The sequence below is a fragment of the Homo sapiens genome, chromosome 3, assembly GCF_000001405.40.
Source record: "Homo sapiens chromosome 3, GRCh38.p14 Primary Assembly".
NCBI classification, from domain to species: Eukaryota; Metazoa; Chordata; class Mammalia; order Primates; family Hominidae; genus Homo; species Homo sapiens.
Window position 1 is genome coordinate 73,690,688 of NC_000003.12, and position 17,411 is coordinate 73,708,098.

The window sequence follows — 17,411 nt, forward strand, 5'->3', positions numbered from 1 at the left end:
AAATTAGCTGGGCGTGGTGGCAGGTGACTGTAGTCCCAGCTACTTGGGAGGCTGAGGCAGGAGAATGGCATGAACCCAGGAGGCAGAGCTTGCAGTGAGCTGAGATCACGCCACTGCACTCCAGCCTCAGCCACAGAGCAAGACTCCGTCTCAAAAAAAAAAAAAAAAAAAAAAGAATCGAACTTTGTATACTAACTTTTTATCCTGCAACCTTGCTATACTCATTTATTTGTTACAGAAGGGTTTAAAAAATTATTTGGTATTTTCTACATAGACAATCACATTGTCTACAGACAATTTGGTTTCTTTCTTCCCCAACTGTATGCCTTTTATTTTAGCTTTTTATTCTGTTACACTAGGTACTTCAAGTATGGTGTAAATATGAGCAGGGAGAAAGCACCCGTTTTTCCCCACTAAGGGTGATGTCAGCTGGTAGTTTGTTTGTTTTGTAGATGTTCTTTATCTAATTGAGGAAGTACCCCCAGTTCTATTTTGCTGAAGATTTTTATCAGCAATTGATATAATCATATAATTTTTCTTCTTTCATCCATAGATGTGGTGGATTACACTGATTGAATTTAGAATGTTGAACCACCCTTGCATACCTTGAATAAATCCTACTTCACCGTGTGTAATTTATACATGGTTGAATTTTATTAGCTAATTTTTTGGTGAATATTTTTTGCTAATATTTTGTTGAAGACCCTGGAGGATACTGGTCTGTATTTTACTTTGTTGTAATGCCTTTATCTTTTTTTTTGGCATTAAAGTAATATTGGCCTCATAGAATGAGTAACAGAGTATTCCCTGACACTTCAGTTTTCTGAAAAAGATTATGGGGAATTGTTATTATTTCTTCCTCATACGGTTGATAGATTTCATTGGTGAAACCATCTGGCCTTCGTTCTTTCTTTTTGGAAGGTTATTAATCATTAATTTAATTACTATAATAAACATAGGCCTATTCAGATTATCTGTTACTGCTCATGTATGTTTTAATCGTTTGTGTCTTTCGAGGAATTGGTTCATTTATGTAAATAATAAAATCTGTGTGTATAGAGTTTGCTCACAAATGCCACAAGGATAATTCCTTTATTATACTTTTAATGTTCATGGAGTAGTGATGGCCTTTTATTTCTGATAGTAATAATTTGTGTCTTCTTTGTTTTTCTCTTGGTTAGTCTAGCCAGGGGTTGTCAATTTGATAGATATTTCCAAAGAACCAGCTTTTACTTTTGTTGATTTTCCCTTTGTTTTCCTGTTTTCAATTTCATTGATTTCTGCCCTAATTTTTGTTATGGTATTTTTTCCTGCTTTATTTAAGCTTAAGTTTTTCTTTTTTCTCTAGTTTTCTAAAATGGAAGCTTAGATTATTCATTTTTGATTTTTCTACTTTTCCAATATAAGCATTTAATGCCATAACTTCCCTTTAAGCTTTTAATGCATCTCACAAATTTTGATAAGTTATATTTTCATTTTAGTTCAAAATGGTTTTAAATTTCATGTAAGACTTCTTTTTTGACCATGTGTTATTTAGAAGTGTGTTGCTTAGTTTTCAAATATTTGGGAAATTTCCAGCTATTGTTCTCTTATTAATTTCTAGTCTAATTTTATTGCAGTCTGAGAACATACTTTGCATGATTTGTATCCTCTTAAACTTATCAAGGTATGGTTTTATATCCCAGAATGTGGTCTCTCTTGGTGAATGTTCCATGTAAGCTTGAGAAAAATGTGTATTCTGCTGTTGTTGGGTGAAGTATTCTATAAGCATAAATTAGATTGAAGTGATTGATAGTGCTAGTCAGGTCAACTATATCTTATAAATTATCTGTCTGCTTGGTCTATCAATTACTGAAAGAGGGGGTTTAAATCTCCAGCTATAATAGTGGATTCATCTATTTCTTTTTGGAGTTCTATCAGTTTTTACCTCGTGTATTTGACATTCCCTTGTCAGGTGCGTACACATTTAGGATTGTTATGTCTTCTTAGAGAATTGAGCTCTTTGTCATCATGAAATGCCCCTATTTATCTCTGATAGTTTTCTTTTTCTGAAGTCTGCTTTATATTTTTTATATGGGAGCTGATCCCAAGAACTGAGAGTGAGGGAATAAGAAGGATAGAACAGGGAAGGAACAAAAGCCAATACTGAGACTGCCGCTCTGGGAAATGGTGGCTTGATTCTGCTGGACATCTGAGAAGTGTGTGGAATGCTTTCCAGAATTGTCTACCCCAAAGATGGGAGGCTGGGGTATTCATCCACCCCAACCCCTTTGAGATGAGGGTTGCCCCTGGGAATTAACTTCCTCACCCTCAGGAGCTGGGCTTGCTCTGGGTCCAGTAGCTTCTAGAAGTCCCAGAAAAGGTACTGAGGCAGAATGTAAGGTGTAGGGTATGCACTTGTGGGAGTGCCAACTGTCAGCATGAGGTGGGTGGGACTGTGACTGCAACAGGAGGCAAGCCTAGCTGATGGAACACAGGAGACAAAAAGTAATCTGCTATGATGGGTTCCTATTACAATCCTTAGTGTGGAAAATTGTTCTAAAATACATCCATTTACTTTCCTACCTGAAGAGTACACTTGAATGTGAATGGCACCCAGGTGCCAAAGGGTGATATTTATGCCTCTTCACCATGCTGACAGTCATTCCAAATAAGCAAACTAAGAGAATACAGTGTGTTTACTATGATCTGTGGCTTCAAAGCAATTCCTTTGGCTGTTCATTTCCACTCAGATGGCTGCTCATAAATTAAAATTCTGAAGGCTTGATAACCTGCAGGGCTGCTGGTGCAAGTCTTGAAGGCCAAAGGGCAGAGGACCTTGAGTCTTGATGTCCAAGGGCTAGCAAAAAAGTGTGTTCCATCTCCGAAAAAGAAAGAAAATAAATCTTCCTTTCTTCAGCCTTTTTGTTCTATCCAGGCCCTCAGTTGATTGGCTGGTGCCTGCCCCCACTCAGCCCACTGTTTCAAATGCTAATCTTGTGAACATGTACTGGAAACACCCTCGCAGACATATGCAGAAATAATGTTTACCAGTTATCTGGGTATCCGGTCAAGCTGACATCTAAAAGTAATCCAGTCAAGTTGATACCTAAAATTAACCATCAAAGGCATCTAGACTGGTTGGTGAAAGAGAAATTTATTGAATATCAATCACAGCCTCAGGACCAGCTGTAAGTAATATGGTAACCTGGTTCATTAACGCCTTTGCATGAAGTCTTTGCAGAGATTGTGGTGGCTACCACGCTGAAGGAGACTGTGTATTGTTTGAACTTAGAAGGCAAAAGCATAGCTGAGCTGTTCAAGAGGTGGACTGTATCAAATACATCTCATGCACCATCTCAAAGCTTCTGATGTTCCTTTATCCTCACCTCTCATTTCAGCCAGTCCAAGACAACTGGTTCCACTCATGCTTCATCCAGTTTCCTGCAGGAGAAATGTGACTGTGTTGCACCTCTGGCTTCCATGGCATCCCTCTTTCTTTCTGCTTTAGATTTTTCTCATGTCATGGTATGAGATGCCCTTGGGAACCCATTTGGCACTCACATGGCATAGTCAAATCAACAATTGATCCATGAGAAATGGAAGCCAACAGATAAATGGTTCCTCCTTTATTCCTCTAGGGTAGATCAAACTTTTCTGACAGTCCCATGGGGTTAAGTATCCAGTCTCCCCCAGTAGTGACAACTTGACAATGCATCCTTGTATTTTGTCTTACTCATTCTCTGTGTTTATCTATCCAACACCCTCACAATAAGCTACTTGCACCTCAGTCTACTCTTGTGGAAATCCAAAACTAATGAAAATTAAAGCAGTTTGAGAGAACTATTATGGACAATTGACATTTTCTCAATTTTAGGTAAATTAAGAACAAAAAGCATCTTTAGAAATCTTTGACATTTTGTTTTAACTGTCAAATATAATGTTATTAAAAACATCAAGGCTTCTATGCAAATAAAATATCAAGATAAAGCCTTGATGTTTTAATACAAGATAAAGCCTTGTAGGATTATAATCCCTACAGAGGATCATAGAGATGCCACTGAATCAGAGATTCTGACATCTTGGGGAACAAGCACAGAATATGAGAAGGGGGCTAGAGAAAGGATCTAGCCAGAAGTAGATTTACTGCAATTGGATGGTGGAGAAGTTTCCATTTTTAAAAGCACATAATAATTTTCCTTCTCTTTCTATTTGTCTCATGTTCTGACCATTGATGTTTCATTTAGGTACTGAAGAGAGGGACCCTTGTGTTTCCGCTAACATCTTTTCATCGTGGTCTGAACTTCATTAAAGATTCGTTAAAGATACTTTGCTAAAGATACTTCATTAAAATGTGCCACTTTTTGAGAATATGTATGTTTCAGTTATCCATTTGTGTGTAATGAACCATCCTAAATACAGTGGCTTAATACAACATTTTTTGGCTCATGGTTCTGCAGTTAAGACAGGATGCTGTGGGAACATCTTGTCTCTGCTCCACCCAGTATTAGCTCAAGTAGCTGAAAGGCTGGAACCTGGAATCATCAGAAGGCTTTTGGGTCTAGAGTTTAATGCTGGCTATCAGCTGCAGCTGTAGTAAGAACTGTTGGCCAGAGCACCTTCATGTGGCCTCTTTACATGGCAGGGGCTTTCTTAGAACATGGTGGCTGAGTTCCAAAGGTGAGCATTTTAAAAAAGAGACAGTCAAGCAGAAGCCCTATTGCCTCTTCTGACATAGCCTCAGAAGTCCCATAACATCACTGTCATCTCATTCTGTTCATTAGAAGCAAGTTCACCAAGTTTGGCCCATACTCAAGAGAAGGAGAATTAGACTCCACATTTTCACTGGAGGTATGTCAAGGAATTTATGGCACCACCACAGTGTCTGGGCATTTAACAGTTGCCTTGCTCCTTAACCAGCTATGGCACTATTTATCATGTGAATCACTTGTTCCATGATGCTTAAGCTTATTTCCTAGAGCAACACTGCCCAACAGAATTTTCTATGATGATGGAAATGTTCTATATCTGCTCTGACCAATACACAAGTGGCTGCTGAGCACTTGCAATATGGCTAATGAGACTGAAGAACAGAATACAAATTTTATTTAATTCCAGTTAATTCAAGTTTAAATAGATAGGCACATGTGCATAGTGGCTACTATACTGGGAAGCTCAATTGTAGAACAACAAGGAAAGAGATAGAGTTAAATTCCAGAAGTGATGAAAGCATTGGGCCAGCTTTCTAGTACAATGCTACAACATTCCAATTACAAGCAAAATGCTTCCAGGCCTGACTGCGTTCAAAGGTCCAAATCAAGATGATTTGGCATAGGATGTCCTAGAGAGAAGAAATTTCTTAATGTGTAAGTGTGGAAATGCAGAATAATTGCTGATGAGAAGTGTCAGGACAACTTCTCCGGTGGGCAAGATGCTGGAATCGTTTAGACATGCAGATCCTTGCTCAACAACCCATCTCTTCACACAGAGACTCTAGCCAACTGCTTTTGGCCTGAAGTATGAGGAATCTGCAAGGCTGGAGCTCAGAAGATGATGACTTCTGAAACTCCTGTGTGTGCCTGTCTTCCATGCCTGCTTCCCCAAGCCTCCTTATTTTCCTTACCTTTATGCTTCTTGTTCTTTAGTTTTGAAACTTGTGATTTTGAAGTGGGTAGTCACAATGTTGAAAATGCCTTGAGTATCCCATTAAAATAATGAGCAATCATTATCTAAAAAAATTCTTGATCACCTATTAAGTGTAAGGCTCCATGATAGACAGGACAATAGTCTTCACTCTTGGAATGCTGTCATCTAATTGTGATTTAATAGAACAGTTAACATGTATGGAGATGTTAGTGTGTGCCAAATACCATGCTATTATTTTGATGAATATGATCTTATTTGGTCCTTTTAAAACCCTATGACACAGATACTTTTTAAATTCAAACTTTACAGATGGGGAAACTGAGCCTCGATGAGGTAAAATAGCTTGCCCAAAGGAAAGCATCTATGATACAGTTGAGTAGAAATTTGAAGCTAAATTGGGTGAGCTCCCAAGTCTATACTCATAACCACTCATCTCCAAAGTCCATACTCATAACCACTCATAACCATGTCTAAATGATTCCAGCAACCACTCTCCTGTGCTTACATCCCATTACATTGAATAGCATTTCCCACTTCCTTGGGGACTCATGTTTGACAAAGCCAATTTATACATAGTTGGGAAGACCTAACAGAGTTTATGAAGGACACTGAGACATTGGTATTTGGGTCATGCCCAAGAGTGAAGATGGCAAAATTTGCTTGTCTGCTCCAAAGACATTATAATAGGTTTGAGGAAACAGTTATCAGGAGAGGCCGCGAGAAATTTTTCTTTTTAGCATTACCTATTGGAGGAAAGTATCTTAAGGAAAACAACAAGGTAACTGGGAAGGACTAGTGGTAAATGAGAGGCTCTTTTGAGAGTCATAGCCCGTGTGAAATGTTGAATCCTGCCAACTTACTCTACCTGGGAAGGAATGTTACATCAGGTGTACATGTTTCAACTTACTTAGCTCATCGGAAAGCCTCGAGGAACTGCATTCAAATGCCAGCATCAGCCTCCATAAGACTGTGAACAGATCCATATCACTACGAAATCCAATTTGAAGGAAGCTGATTAGCTATAGGGGGGAAAAATATCTCCACTGAGGACACACAGAAAGATAAAGAATTTAATAGGATAATGATTTATCTAAAACTCAGTATAGGAGAGAGACTAATTACCCCAGCCCTGGATTCAGAGATCTGGATTCAAATTCCAGCTCTGTTATTAACTAGCTCAGTAACTGTGGAAAATATAGTTCACCCTTCATATCTGCAGGTTCTGTATGTGTGGATTCCATCACTAGATCAAAAAATAAAAATATGTTTTTAAAAACCCACAATTAAAAATTACAAATAAAAATACATTATAACAACTGTTTGCATAGCATTTACATTGTATTGTTATAATCTAGAGATGATTTAAAGTATACAGGAGGATGTGCACATACTATACCATTTTATATCAGGAATTTAAGCATCCACAGATTTAGGTATTGGTAGGAGGCCTGGTACCAATCTCCCCACAGATACCAAGGAATAACTGTACTTAATTTCTATCTTCCTCATTAGAAAAGTAGATGCAATTATAAGAACTGTCTCACAGGCCAGTTGTGTGGATTAAATAATTAATGTAAAATGCAGTGCCTGGCACATGGTAAGTGCTCAATAAATGGTAGCTTATCTTATTTTTAAAAGGTCAGTAGAGAACAGCATGGACTCTGGAACTCCATTACCTGGGGTTTGAGTCCCAGTTCTCTAACAGTTAATAGCAATCTGACCCTGGGCAGGTTTTATTTTTACCTCTCTATGCCTCAGTTACAAAATGAAAATAATCCCTCACACCTTATACCTGTTAGGATGGCTACTACCAAAACAACAGAAAGTGATAAGTGTTGGCAAGGATTTGGAGAAACTGGAATCATTGTGCACTCTTGGTCGGAATGTAAAATAGTGCACCTTTTGTAGAAAACAGTTGTTAGTTCATAAAAATGTTACACAAAGGATAACCATCTGATCCAATTCTACTTCTGACTATCTACTCAGTTAAAATCAGGGACTAAAGATATTTTTATACCTATGTTCATGGCAGCTTTATTCACAATAGCCAACAGGTGAAAGCAACTCAAATGTCCATTGATGGGCAAATGGATAAGTCAAATGTGGTATATATGTACAATGGAATATTATTCTGCCTTAAAAACAAAAAAAATCACATATGCCACAACTAGAATGAACTTTGAATATATTACGCTAAGTGAAATAAGTCAGTCAAAAGAGAATACACATTGTGTGATTCCTTTATGTAAGTACTTAGAGTAGTCACATTCATAGAGACAGAAAGTAGAATGGTGGTGGTCAGGGGATGAGAAGAGTGGGGAATGAGGGGTTATTTTTTAATGGGTACATAGCTTTAGTTTTGCAAGGTGACAAACTTCTGGAGATGGATGGTAACAATGGTCACACAACTACGTAGATGTACTTAATGCCAGTGAATTGTACTCTTAAACATGGGCAAGACAGTAAATTTCAAGTTGTCTTTATTTTACCATAGTGAAAAAAGAGTTAATTTGTATCAAGTGTTTAGAGTGTTGCCTGGCTCTTAGTATAAGGCTTTGCTATGATGATGATGATGATGATGATAATGATGATGATGATGATTGTCCTTATCATTATTTATTAACAACTTTACTTGTGCACTAGCCCTTTGTAAGTCTGTGTAAATTAATGCTCCTCACTTTCTGTCTCCATATCGCAAGGATGATAATAAGCCAAGAGTTAAACAGAAGATTCATACTTGGCATAACCTACCTACCTGCCAAATTCTTCACAATGCTGACGTTTTAATGTCTGAGAGAAATGAATATTAATGATTTCCAATTTCTTTCTTTGACCTTCATGACTAACCTTATAGCATCCAAATAAAGTAGAGATGCAGGAAGATTAAACTGATTTCATTTTTTAAATAGCAATTCAAAAAATAAAGTGTCTTACTATTGGTAGAATCTAGAAGGGACTTAGAAAAATAAATAAAGTATGTCATCCCATCATTAGTGGAAAGGTTAAGGAAAAACTCTGCAAACCACTAGGCTGTAAGAAATTGCTCACATGCTAAAAGTAATAATGGTAATTTTCAAATAAGATGCCAAAATAGTTGAACTGTCAACTTCTGGGAAATTGTATGTTACCACTGACAGTAATTCCTAATGCTGAGGAGAAAAAGAAAATGAAGTGACAGGCTTGTTTGACTTTGCTAATTTCAAAGGTTGAGGCTTATCTCTTGGGTGTGTCTGAGAACCAGGGTCACTGTGACCCCAGCTACTGATTAAGGCAGTAGACTCCAGAATTTAACTCAAACACTTATAATTTGTGTTGACAGTAGTGTTTGCATTTCCTTTATTCTTATATCTCCACAACAGCATCTGGCACATATGTAGTAGGTGCTCAGTGCAAGTATGAAAAATGAATAAATGTGGAAATAGTGACCCAAATGAATGTATGCATTACACACTAATACTTTCTAGTGTTTTAGATTTATAAAGAATTTCCATGCAATTTCACTCGATTCTCATAATATCCTTGCTGATGCCTGAATTTCTTTAGCTCAGAAAGCCTGCCCAGGACTTGCAACTTCAAATCATGAATGCTGTCTCTCCTGCTACTATCCTTGGACTTGGCACTGTGGAGAGGCATTCGACCTGCAATCATATTATTTCCTATTTCTCATATTTATTCTCAATCTCCTCCACTAGTCCGTAAGCCAAGTGAAGGCAGAGCTCCTGTCTGACTTATTCTTTGACTACCAAATCCCTGGAGCTAAAAAAATTTGTTTTTTAAATGAATGAATTGGAGCCTTCCCACATTAGAAAATACAGGGTCATGCTTTAACGTGGCAGTCATGTTCTTCACTGTCATCATGTTGGAATTGGTTTGAACTCTGTTTACCTATTTGTTTTCCTAAGGAGCAAATTACTCTTCATATTATTTGTGCCTCATGGGCTCATTCAGCTCTGAATCCACGTTCATGACTCAGGACACTGGGGACTTTATTCTTTGACTGACTGAAAAACATACATGTGGGTACAAGAGCTCTGTTTTGCCTGTATATGCAGAGGTGCCAATTCTTACTTTACATCCTGCAAGACTCCTTTCATATAAATGGCAGCTAAGTCATTCATTCACACATCCATGTTCAAATAGTGTTTGAGCATCCACTATGTCAGGCAAGGTACCTGGGGGGCTGATCAGGGGATAAAGCAGATATGGTTCCTGCCCTAGAAGGATTTGAAATCTAGATGGGGAGATGGCGACAAACAGGTAAATGTGCAAGTGATCACACACAGGCTGGCTGTGAGGTGACCTTTTGACGTAGAGTTTTGTTTGCTTGTGTTTTACTTTGTATGGCACCTTGTGTAAGAAGGTGATACCCACAGGAAGCCTCAAGTTAAAAGAATTTGGTTAAACAAAACAGCTATTACCCCTAAGAAGTTTCAACCACAGGGCATTTTACTGCTTTGCTAATTGGTTTTGTTTTCCTGATTAGACTCCTACTAGATACTTGGTATCTAAACATAGGCAACTGAGGTGGGAGCAGAAGATGAGGTCTCAAAAGTCATCTGAGCTCTGAGTAGAATACATAATTAACAATATCGTTAAACCCATGTGTTGTAACATGGTTGATTTTATTCAACTTTTTAAGTGTTTTATTTTGTAATAATTCTAGATTTACTGAAAAGTTGCAAAGATAGTACAGAGAGCTCCTGTATACTCTTTACCCAGTTTCCCCTAATGTGAACAGCTTACACTACTGAGGCACATTTGTGAAAACTAGGAAATTAACATTAGTGCCTTTCTATCCATTAAACTCCAGACTGTAATCAGTTGTCTCACTAATGACTTTTTTCTGTTCCAGAAGTAAATATTGCATGTAGTGTTATTCATTTTGGGGATAAAGAATTATAAATTAGAAAGAAGTGCTTAAAAAAACCTCCATCAGTACATATGATTACTTTTTAATTTTATTTTTAAAGAGACAGGCAGGGTCGCAATCTGTTGCCTAGGCTGGAGTGCAGTGGTGCAATCACAGCTCACTGCAGCCTCAAACTCTTGGGCTCAACGAATCCTCCTGCCTCAGTCTCTTGAGTAGCTGGGACTACAGGTGTGTACCACCATGCCTGGCTAATTTTTAAATTTCTGTTGAGATGGGATCTCACCATCTTGCTCGGGCTGGTCTCAAACTTCTGGGCTCAAGACATCCTCCTGCTTTGGCCTCCCAAAGTGCTGGGGATTACAGGCGCAAAGCACTGTGCTGGCCACGATCACCTTTTGAAATTACTTTGTTTCCGTATAAACATGTGTGAAAGATAACTAAAGTATACCAACTAGTTTAAAATTTGCTTACCAAGATATGCATTTGAAACACAAGAAATGCCCTATGGCAACTATTTTTGAGTGATAAATATTTATTTAAGAAATGAAAATTCATCTAACTGCTGCATGAGCTTTTCTTTTCTGTAAATTTTCAAACATTATTCTCAACTGGATTGCTTGCAAAAACATTTCGTACTTAATAGTCTGAGATTTTTCTCTAATTTTAGCCAATAATTCATTTTGATGGGCAAATCACAGCTCTCTAAAAGAGAAATGTTGATAGGCCTGAGGTTTCTGAATGGTGTTTCTGAGTTATACAGTTATCCCTTGTTATCGGTGGGTACTGGTTCCAAGACTGCCCCCCATTGATACCAAAATCCATGGATGGTCAAGTCCCTGATATAAAATGGCATAGTATTTACATATAACCTACTCACATCCTCCAATATACTTTAAATTGTCCCTAGATTGCTTATAACAGGGGTCTTGAATCCCTGGGCTGCAGACCTATACTGGTCCGTGGCCTGTAAAGAGGTGAGTAGTGGACAAGTGAGAGCATTACCACTTGAGCTCTGCCTCTTGTCAGATCAGTGGCATTAGATTCTCATAGGAGTGGGAACTCTATTGTGAACTGCACACGTGAGGCATCTACGTTGTAAGCTTCTTAAGAGAATCTAACTAATGCCTGACGATCTGAGGTTAAACAATTTCATCCCCAAACCATCTACCCCTCTCCCTGCTGTCCCGTAGAAAAATTGTCTCCCACAAAACCAGTCCCTGGTGCCAAAATGGTTGGGGGCCACTGGCTTATAATACCTAATACAATGTAAATGCTATGTAAATAGTTATTATACTGTATTGTTTAGGGACTAATAACAGGAAAAAAGTCTATACCTGTTCAGTACACACACACCGTCCTTTTTTTCTGAATATTTTTGATTTGTAGATGGTTGAATCCATGGATATGGAACCCACAGACATGGAGGGCTGACTTTTTCAACTGTGCTAATCCTTTGGCTAGGCCACATCCCTGTACCTCAGCTACTTTATAATCTGAAAGCTGTGCCTGCATGGAAAGGTGAGCTCCTCTAATCTTACATACACACACACACACACACACACACACACACACACACAGAATGGCAATTGCTTTCAAACCAGACAGCAATTGGTTTCCATTTGGTGCTTGACCCTGAGGTTAGTAATGAAATTAACATGGAACATTTTGAACTATGACAAGAGATGCATTTGGAATTTGTAAAGGCATTGGACATTATATGTTAATGTTTTCATTTTAGCCATAGAGGAGCCTGGCTATACTTAATGTTTCTCAAAGTATGTTTCTCAAGAATAAAGAACAGGGTTGCATGTTGAGAATATGAATGTTGGAGTTAAGCAAAGTCTCAATTCTGACCTCTCCTACTTACTAATGGTGTGGCTATGAATCAAATTACTTAACCTTTCCAAACCTCAGTTTACCACTTTATAAAATGAGAATAATAATCACCTCTTAAAGGTTGGTAGAATTATATAGTATTTAAGCATGTAACACAGTGTCTGCAAGGTAGTAAGAACTTTATAAATGTTAACTGCCATTATTACTATCATTATTAGCCTGTGGAGTATTAATAGGTCTTCCCAGGAAAAAAAATTTGGAAACAGTGGATTTCAAGAAGTTAGAAAAGGTTCTTCAGTGCAATATTTCTCATTGTAGTTTTCACTTAAAAGCTCTAACAGGAGGGTGTGTGGGGTTTCCAAAATTTATTTGATCAAGAGGCTCATTTTTCATAAACTACCCTTATTAGTTCTCTATTGCTCCTATAACAAATTACCTCAAACTTAGGGGCTCAAAACCACAAATGTGTTCTTTTATAGTTCTGGAGGCTAGAGGTCTGTAATGAGTCTTACCAGGCTACAATCAAGGTGTTGGCAGCACTGTGTTTCTTCAGAAGGTTCTAGGGGACAATCTTTTATTTCCTTGCCTTTTCCTACATTCATTATCTTGAAAGGCAGCAGGCAGTATCCCAAATCTCTCTCCCTCTCCTCTCTTTCTTTGTCACATCTCCTTCACTGACTATGACCCTCCAGCCTCTCTTTTATAAGGACCCTTGTAATTAGATTAGCTGCCTCCCCTCGTAATGTAAATAATCTCCCAATATCCCTAACCATAACTTAATGATATCAGCAAGGTCCATTTTTTGCCATGTAAGGTGACATAGTTATAGATTTTGAGGATTAGGACACGAAACATCTTTGGGCGGGGGGCAGTATTTTAGTCTACCACCCCACCTAAGAGGTCTAGATTTTTGAGGAATCAACAAAAATCCTTGCCTGCATTTCTCAACATTTTTTGTAGATTGGAGTGAAGCAGAGAGGGGAAATAAGAATATAATTGAGTAATATCACTTATGTTAATAATAAATATGGCTTGTATATCAGTCACAGTACTAACAGGAAATAGATGACACACTCAAAGGACTTAATAAAGTGACTTTTTTCAAGGGTGTTTTCCAAAAACAAAACAAGGCAAAAACAAACAAACAAACAAACAAACAAAAAAGTTGTTTTCTAGGGGTAGGGGAACCACAAGGAATAGTCCCAGTGTTGCAATCTTGTTTCCATTCTATCTCCTGCCAGGGTTAAACATAGGTCAGACCCAACCCTAAAGCCAGAAGACAGGAGAGTCTGTGGATACTGACTAGTTGTTCTCAAACTTGGGCATGCATCAGAAACACCTGGAGGGCCTGCTGCATGATAGACTGCTGGAGCCTATCCCCAGAGTCTGATTCCGCAGCTCTGTGTGGGGACCCAATGATAATTTGCATTTCTAACAAGTTCTCAGGTGATTCTGATGCTGCAGTTTGGGGTAACACTTTGAGAACCACTGCAGTAGACTGAACAAGTCAGGCTCCAGGGGCACAGAACAGGGTGAGAAGGATGAAGAATGGGTTTAGAGGGGAAAACAGAAGATACCTGGCACAACAGACAATAAAACACAACAGACTGTGAAGTAAAAAGTGTTAATTACACGTGTGATGGGAGTTCAAGCATGGTTGAAAGCCAAGCAGCCTGAAAGAGTGGAAGATTTTGTGGAAGAGATGGAATTTCATCAGAGGGATTATAAAGGTTTCAAAAGGAGGGGAGGCGGGGAGGGCATTTAGCAGGTAGGAAGTTCACAGACCAGGGTACATTGGCATGGTCTCTTTTAGGAGATTTAATTGCTTAAGGATAGCAATCTTGCTCAATGAGAAAGTCAGTTTTTAGGAACATTTAGAAAAACAGCTAATTGTATAAGAGCAGAGCAGAAAGGTGGATAATTTTGTCTGGGATTGATGAGGGTGAGAAAAGGGAGCCAGTACAAGTTCTTGAGTAAGGGAATGTTAAGAAAGACCAGGATTACTAGAAGGGAAAAGAAGACTGACTTGGTGACCCAATTAAGAAAGCTGTTAAGATAGTTGACTATAGTAAAAATAAAAAAGAAAAAGAAAACATCCCCAATCAATCTGGGGACAAGATACCAGGGTTTAGGTCAGGCTTTTCTATTAACTAGCTGGGTGAGGTTGATCTGACTGTTGAACCACTCTGAAGGGAGCAGATATATTTTATTATAAGAATGAGATAATTACCCGGAAAGGAAAAAGCAAATAGGAGACACATTTCAAATCCTACCCACATCCACACCTAGAAAACACTGATGTCTGACAACCAGGGAATAAACCTTGTCAGTCTTTCGTAAGAACAAACTAATCCTTGCTGGTGCTGACTTGTTAATGACCAAGCAAGGATTATGGCTCACACTTTGGGTAGATTAGATTCATCACTGGGGCAGGGCACGGTGGCTCACACCTGTAATCCCAGCAGTTTGGGAGGTTGAGACAGGCAGATCACGAGGTCAGGAGATCGAGACCATCCTGGCCAACATGGTGAAACCCCATGTCTACTAACAATACAAAAATTAGCTGGGCATGTTTGTGCGTGCCTGTGATCCCAGCTTCTCGGGAGGCTGAGGCAGGAGATTCGCTTGAACCAGAGAGCTGCAGGTTGCAGTGAGCCGAGATTGTGCCACTGCATTCCAGCCTGGTGACAGAGTGAGACTGTCTCAAAAAAAAGGAAAAAAAAAAAGAAAAAAAGAAATCCATCATTAATTTTTTTTAAAAAAAAGGTAAAAAAGAAAAAAGTATTATACTACTGAGGTTAATTTACTTTGCTTTAAATGCTTTTATTTATTTATTTTTGTTTTTAAATGAATTGCTACTATAAATATGAACACTAAGCCTTGGAGACTTTGAGAATATGCCTTAAGTGCATAGTAGCTCTTGTTGAAGAAATTTATTCTCTTCAAAGTAATAAACATGGAACTGACATGAACCATCTGTCAGTAGATGATGTTGGAGGTTTTGTGTGTGTACTAAGCATGGTGTCTACCTTGCTCTAAAGGACAAGAAAAGGAGAATTTTTTAAAAACAATTTTTATTTCTATTCGAATACATTTTTTCTCAGATTTATTTGCTTCTGCTGTCCTTGGAATGTTTTGGATACACAGAACTTAAGTTTAAGACAATCCAGTTAAATATAGTAAATCGTGTTTCTGATATATTTTAGAATAAAAAATAAACAAGAAAAGAAAAACCCGATAAGCATTGAAATGGTACTCTGTTCCCTGCAAAGTCAGGCAGTGCAGGTCAGCAGAGTGTGTCATGTTTACCTTCAATGAAGCGGTCACTAATAACATACCTGTCTAGTGTCTGCTATGTGTGAAGTAGGTATTTCCTGTTCATTTTGTCTTTTGATCTATAGTAACTATGTGAAGTAGTTACTATTATTTTGAGAACACAGATAAAAGGAGACATTGATGCTTAGAGACTCTAAGTGTTTGCCCAAGGTCACATAGTTAATAGGTGTCAGTGCTGGTTTCAAATTCATGTCTGATTTATCTTAAAACCCATGCTCTTTACCAGACACTATTCTCTTTCAGCCTCTCCTCCCTCCAACTCCACTCCACCACTTGCTGTCTATTTTTTTTTTTTCTGTTTGTTAAAATTTTTGGACTGGTGGTTTATATCTAATGCCTCTATTTTTCTTAGAGTATAAGCTATCCACTGCTCATAATAAATTACCCATAGACTTAGTGGATTAAAAAAACTCAAACATTTCTTATCTTACAATTTCTGTGGGTCAGAAATTCAGGAATGCCTTGCTGAGTGATTCTGACTCTGGTTTCTTGTGTCAGCTGGGGCTGCAGTTATCTGAAGGCTTAACAGTCTGGGGGTCTTCTTCCAAGATGGCTTGCTCATCTGGCAGCTGCCAGCAGGGCTTAGTTCCTCACTGGCTGTTGGCAGAAGGCCTCATTTCTTTACCATGTGAGCTCTTCTATAGGGCTTCTTGAGTGTCCTTATGACGTAGCAGCTGGCTTCCCCCATGTGAGTGATCTGAGACAGCAAGATGGAAGGCAGAGTGCCTTTTATGACCTAGCCCTGGAAGTTGTGCTCCATTGTCCTGCAACATCCTCTTGGTTACATAGGCCAACCCAGTTCAGCATGGGAGGAAACTCTGCGAGGGTGTGCATACCAGGTGAGAGTTCTGAGAGCCTGGTTAAACACCACCCACTGGGAAGCTGCTGGACACACCTTGCCATTCATTCCCTTCTTTTTTCTTTCTCTTTCTTTTCTTTTTTTTATTTTTATTTTTTGAGACAGAATCTCCCTCTGTCATTCAGGCTGGAGTGCAGTAGCACAATCACAGCTCACTGAACCCTCTGCCTCCCAGGCTCAAGTGGTCCTTCCACCTCAGCCTCATGGGTAGCTGGGACTACAAGCGTGTGCCACCACTCCTGGCTAATTTTTGTATTTTATATAGAGATGGGTTTTGCCAGGTTGCCCAGTCTGGTCTCAAACTCCTGAGCTCAAGTGATCCACCCACCTTGGCCTCCCAAAGTGCTGGGATTACAGGCATGAGTCCCCACATCTCGCCGTTAATTCTTAATAATGTACCTTTTCATCTTTCTGCCTGAGTTTTTACAGACTTCCTCTCAACAAACTTAATAATTTCCTTCTTACTGATCTTACTTCAAAGTTTCTTTGCTGGATTTAACAATTTCTTATCACCTCCTACTTCTTGTCTTGGTTTTTCATTCACATCTAATGCTTAGCACAGTCCTGGGTGCATATGAAGGCCACCTGAATGGACATTTATTAAATGAATGAATCCTTGACTTTATCTCAGTTTCCTCCCCTGCTGCTCTTCCCTAGTTCTTCTCCACCAAGGCCCAGTTGCAGGTTGGCCCTATTAGGCCAACCAATGTGTTTTATTTGGCTCACATAGAGTTTTAAGGTTATGAGTCAACATTTGAAAGTTAGGAGGTTTCACACAAAAATATGAGTTCCTGCTTTTCTTGAGCAATTTGAAGATCTGGCATGGAAACAGTTGCTAGAACGAAGGGGCCCCTTTTAGAGATGACAGGTGCCCTTTTGTTCCTC

The 17,411-nt window shown here is 38.7% G+C and overlaps 1 long non-coding RNA gene across 2 annotated transcripts in view; it reads right to left on the reverse strand.

Moving 5' to 3' along the window:
• LOC105377164 (uncharacterized) overlaps positions 1–16,336 on the reverse strand; it is a 28,764-nt gene extending 12,428 nt beyond the window's left edge. Inside the window, exons 1-3 of one of the 2 annotated variants that reach the window (XR_940966.1) lie at positions 16,099–16,336; positions 6,533–6,644; positions 3,197–3,423 (exon numbers count right to left, since the gene is read on the reverse strand). This is a non-coding gene — a long non-coding RNA (uncharacterized LOC105377164). Of the gene's footprint in view, positions 1–3,196; positions 3,424–6,532; positions 6,645–16,098 lie in introns of those variants that run through there. The other variant, XR_001740755.1, reaches the window with a different exon arrangement.
• Between the last annotated feature and the right edge of the window lie 1,075 nt (positions 16,337–17,411).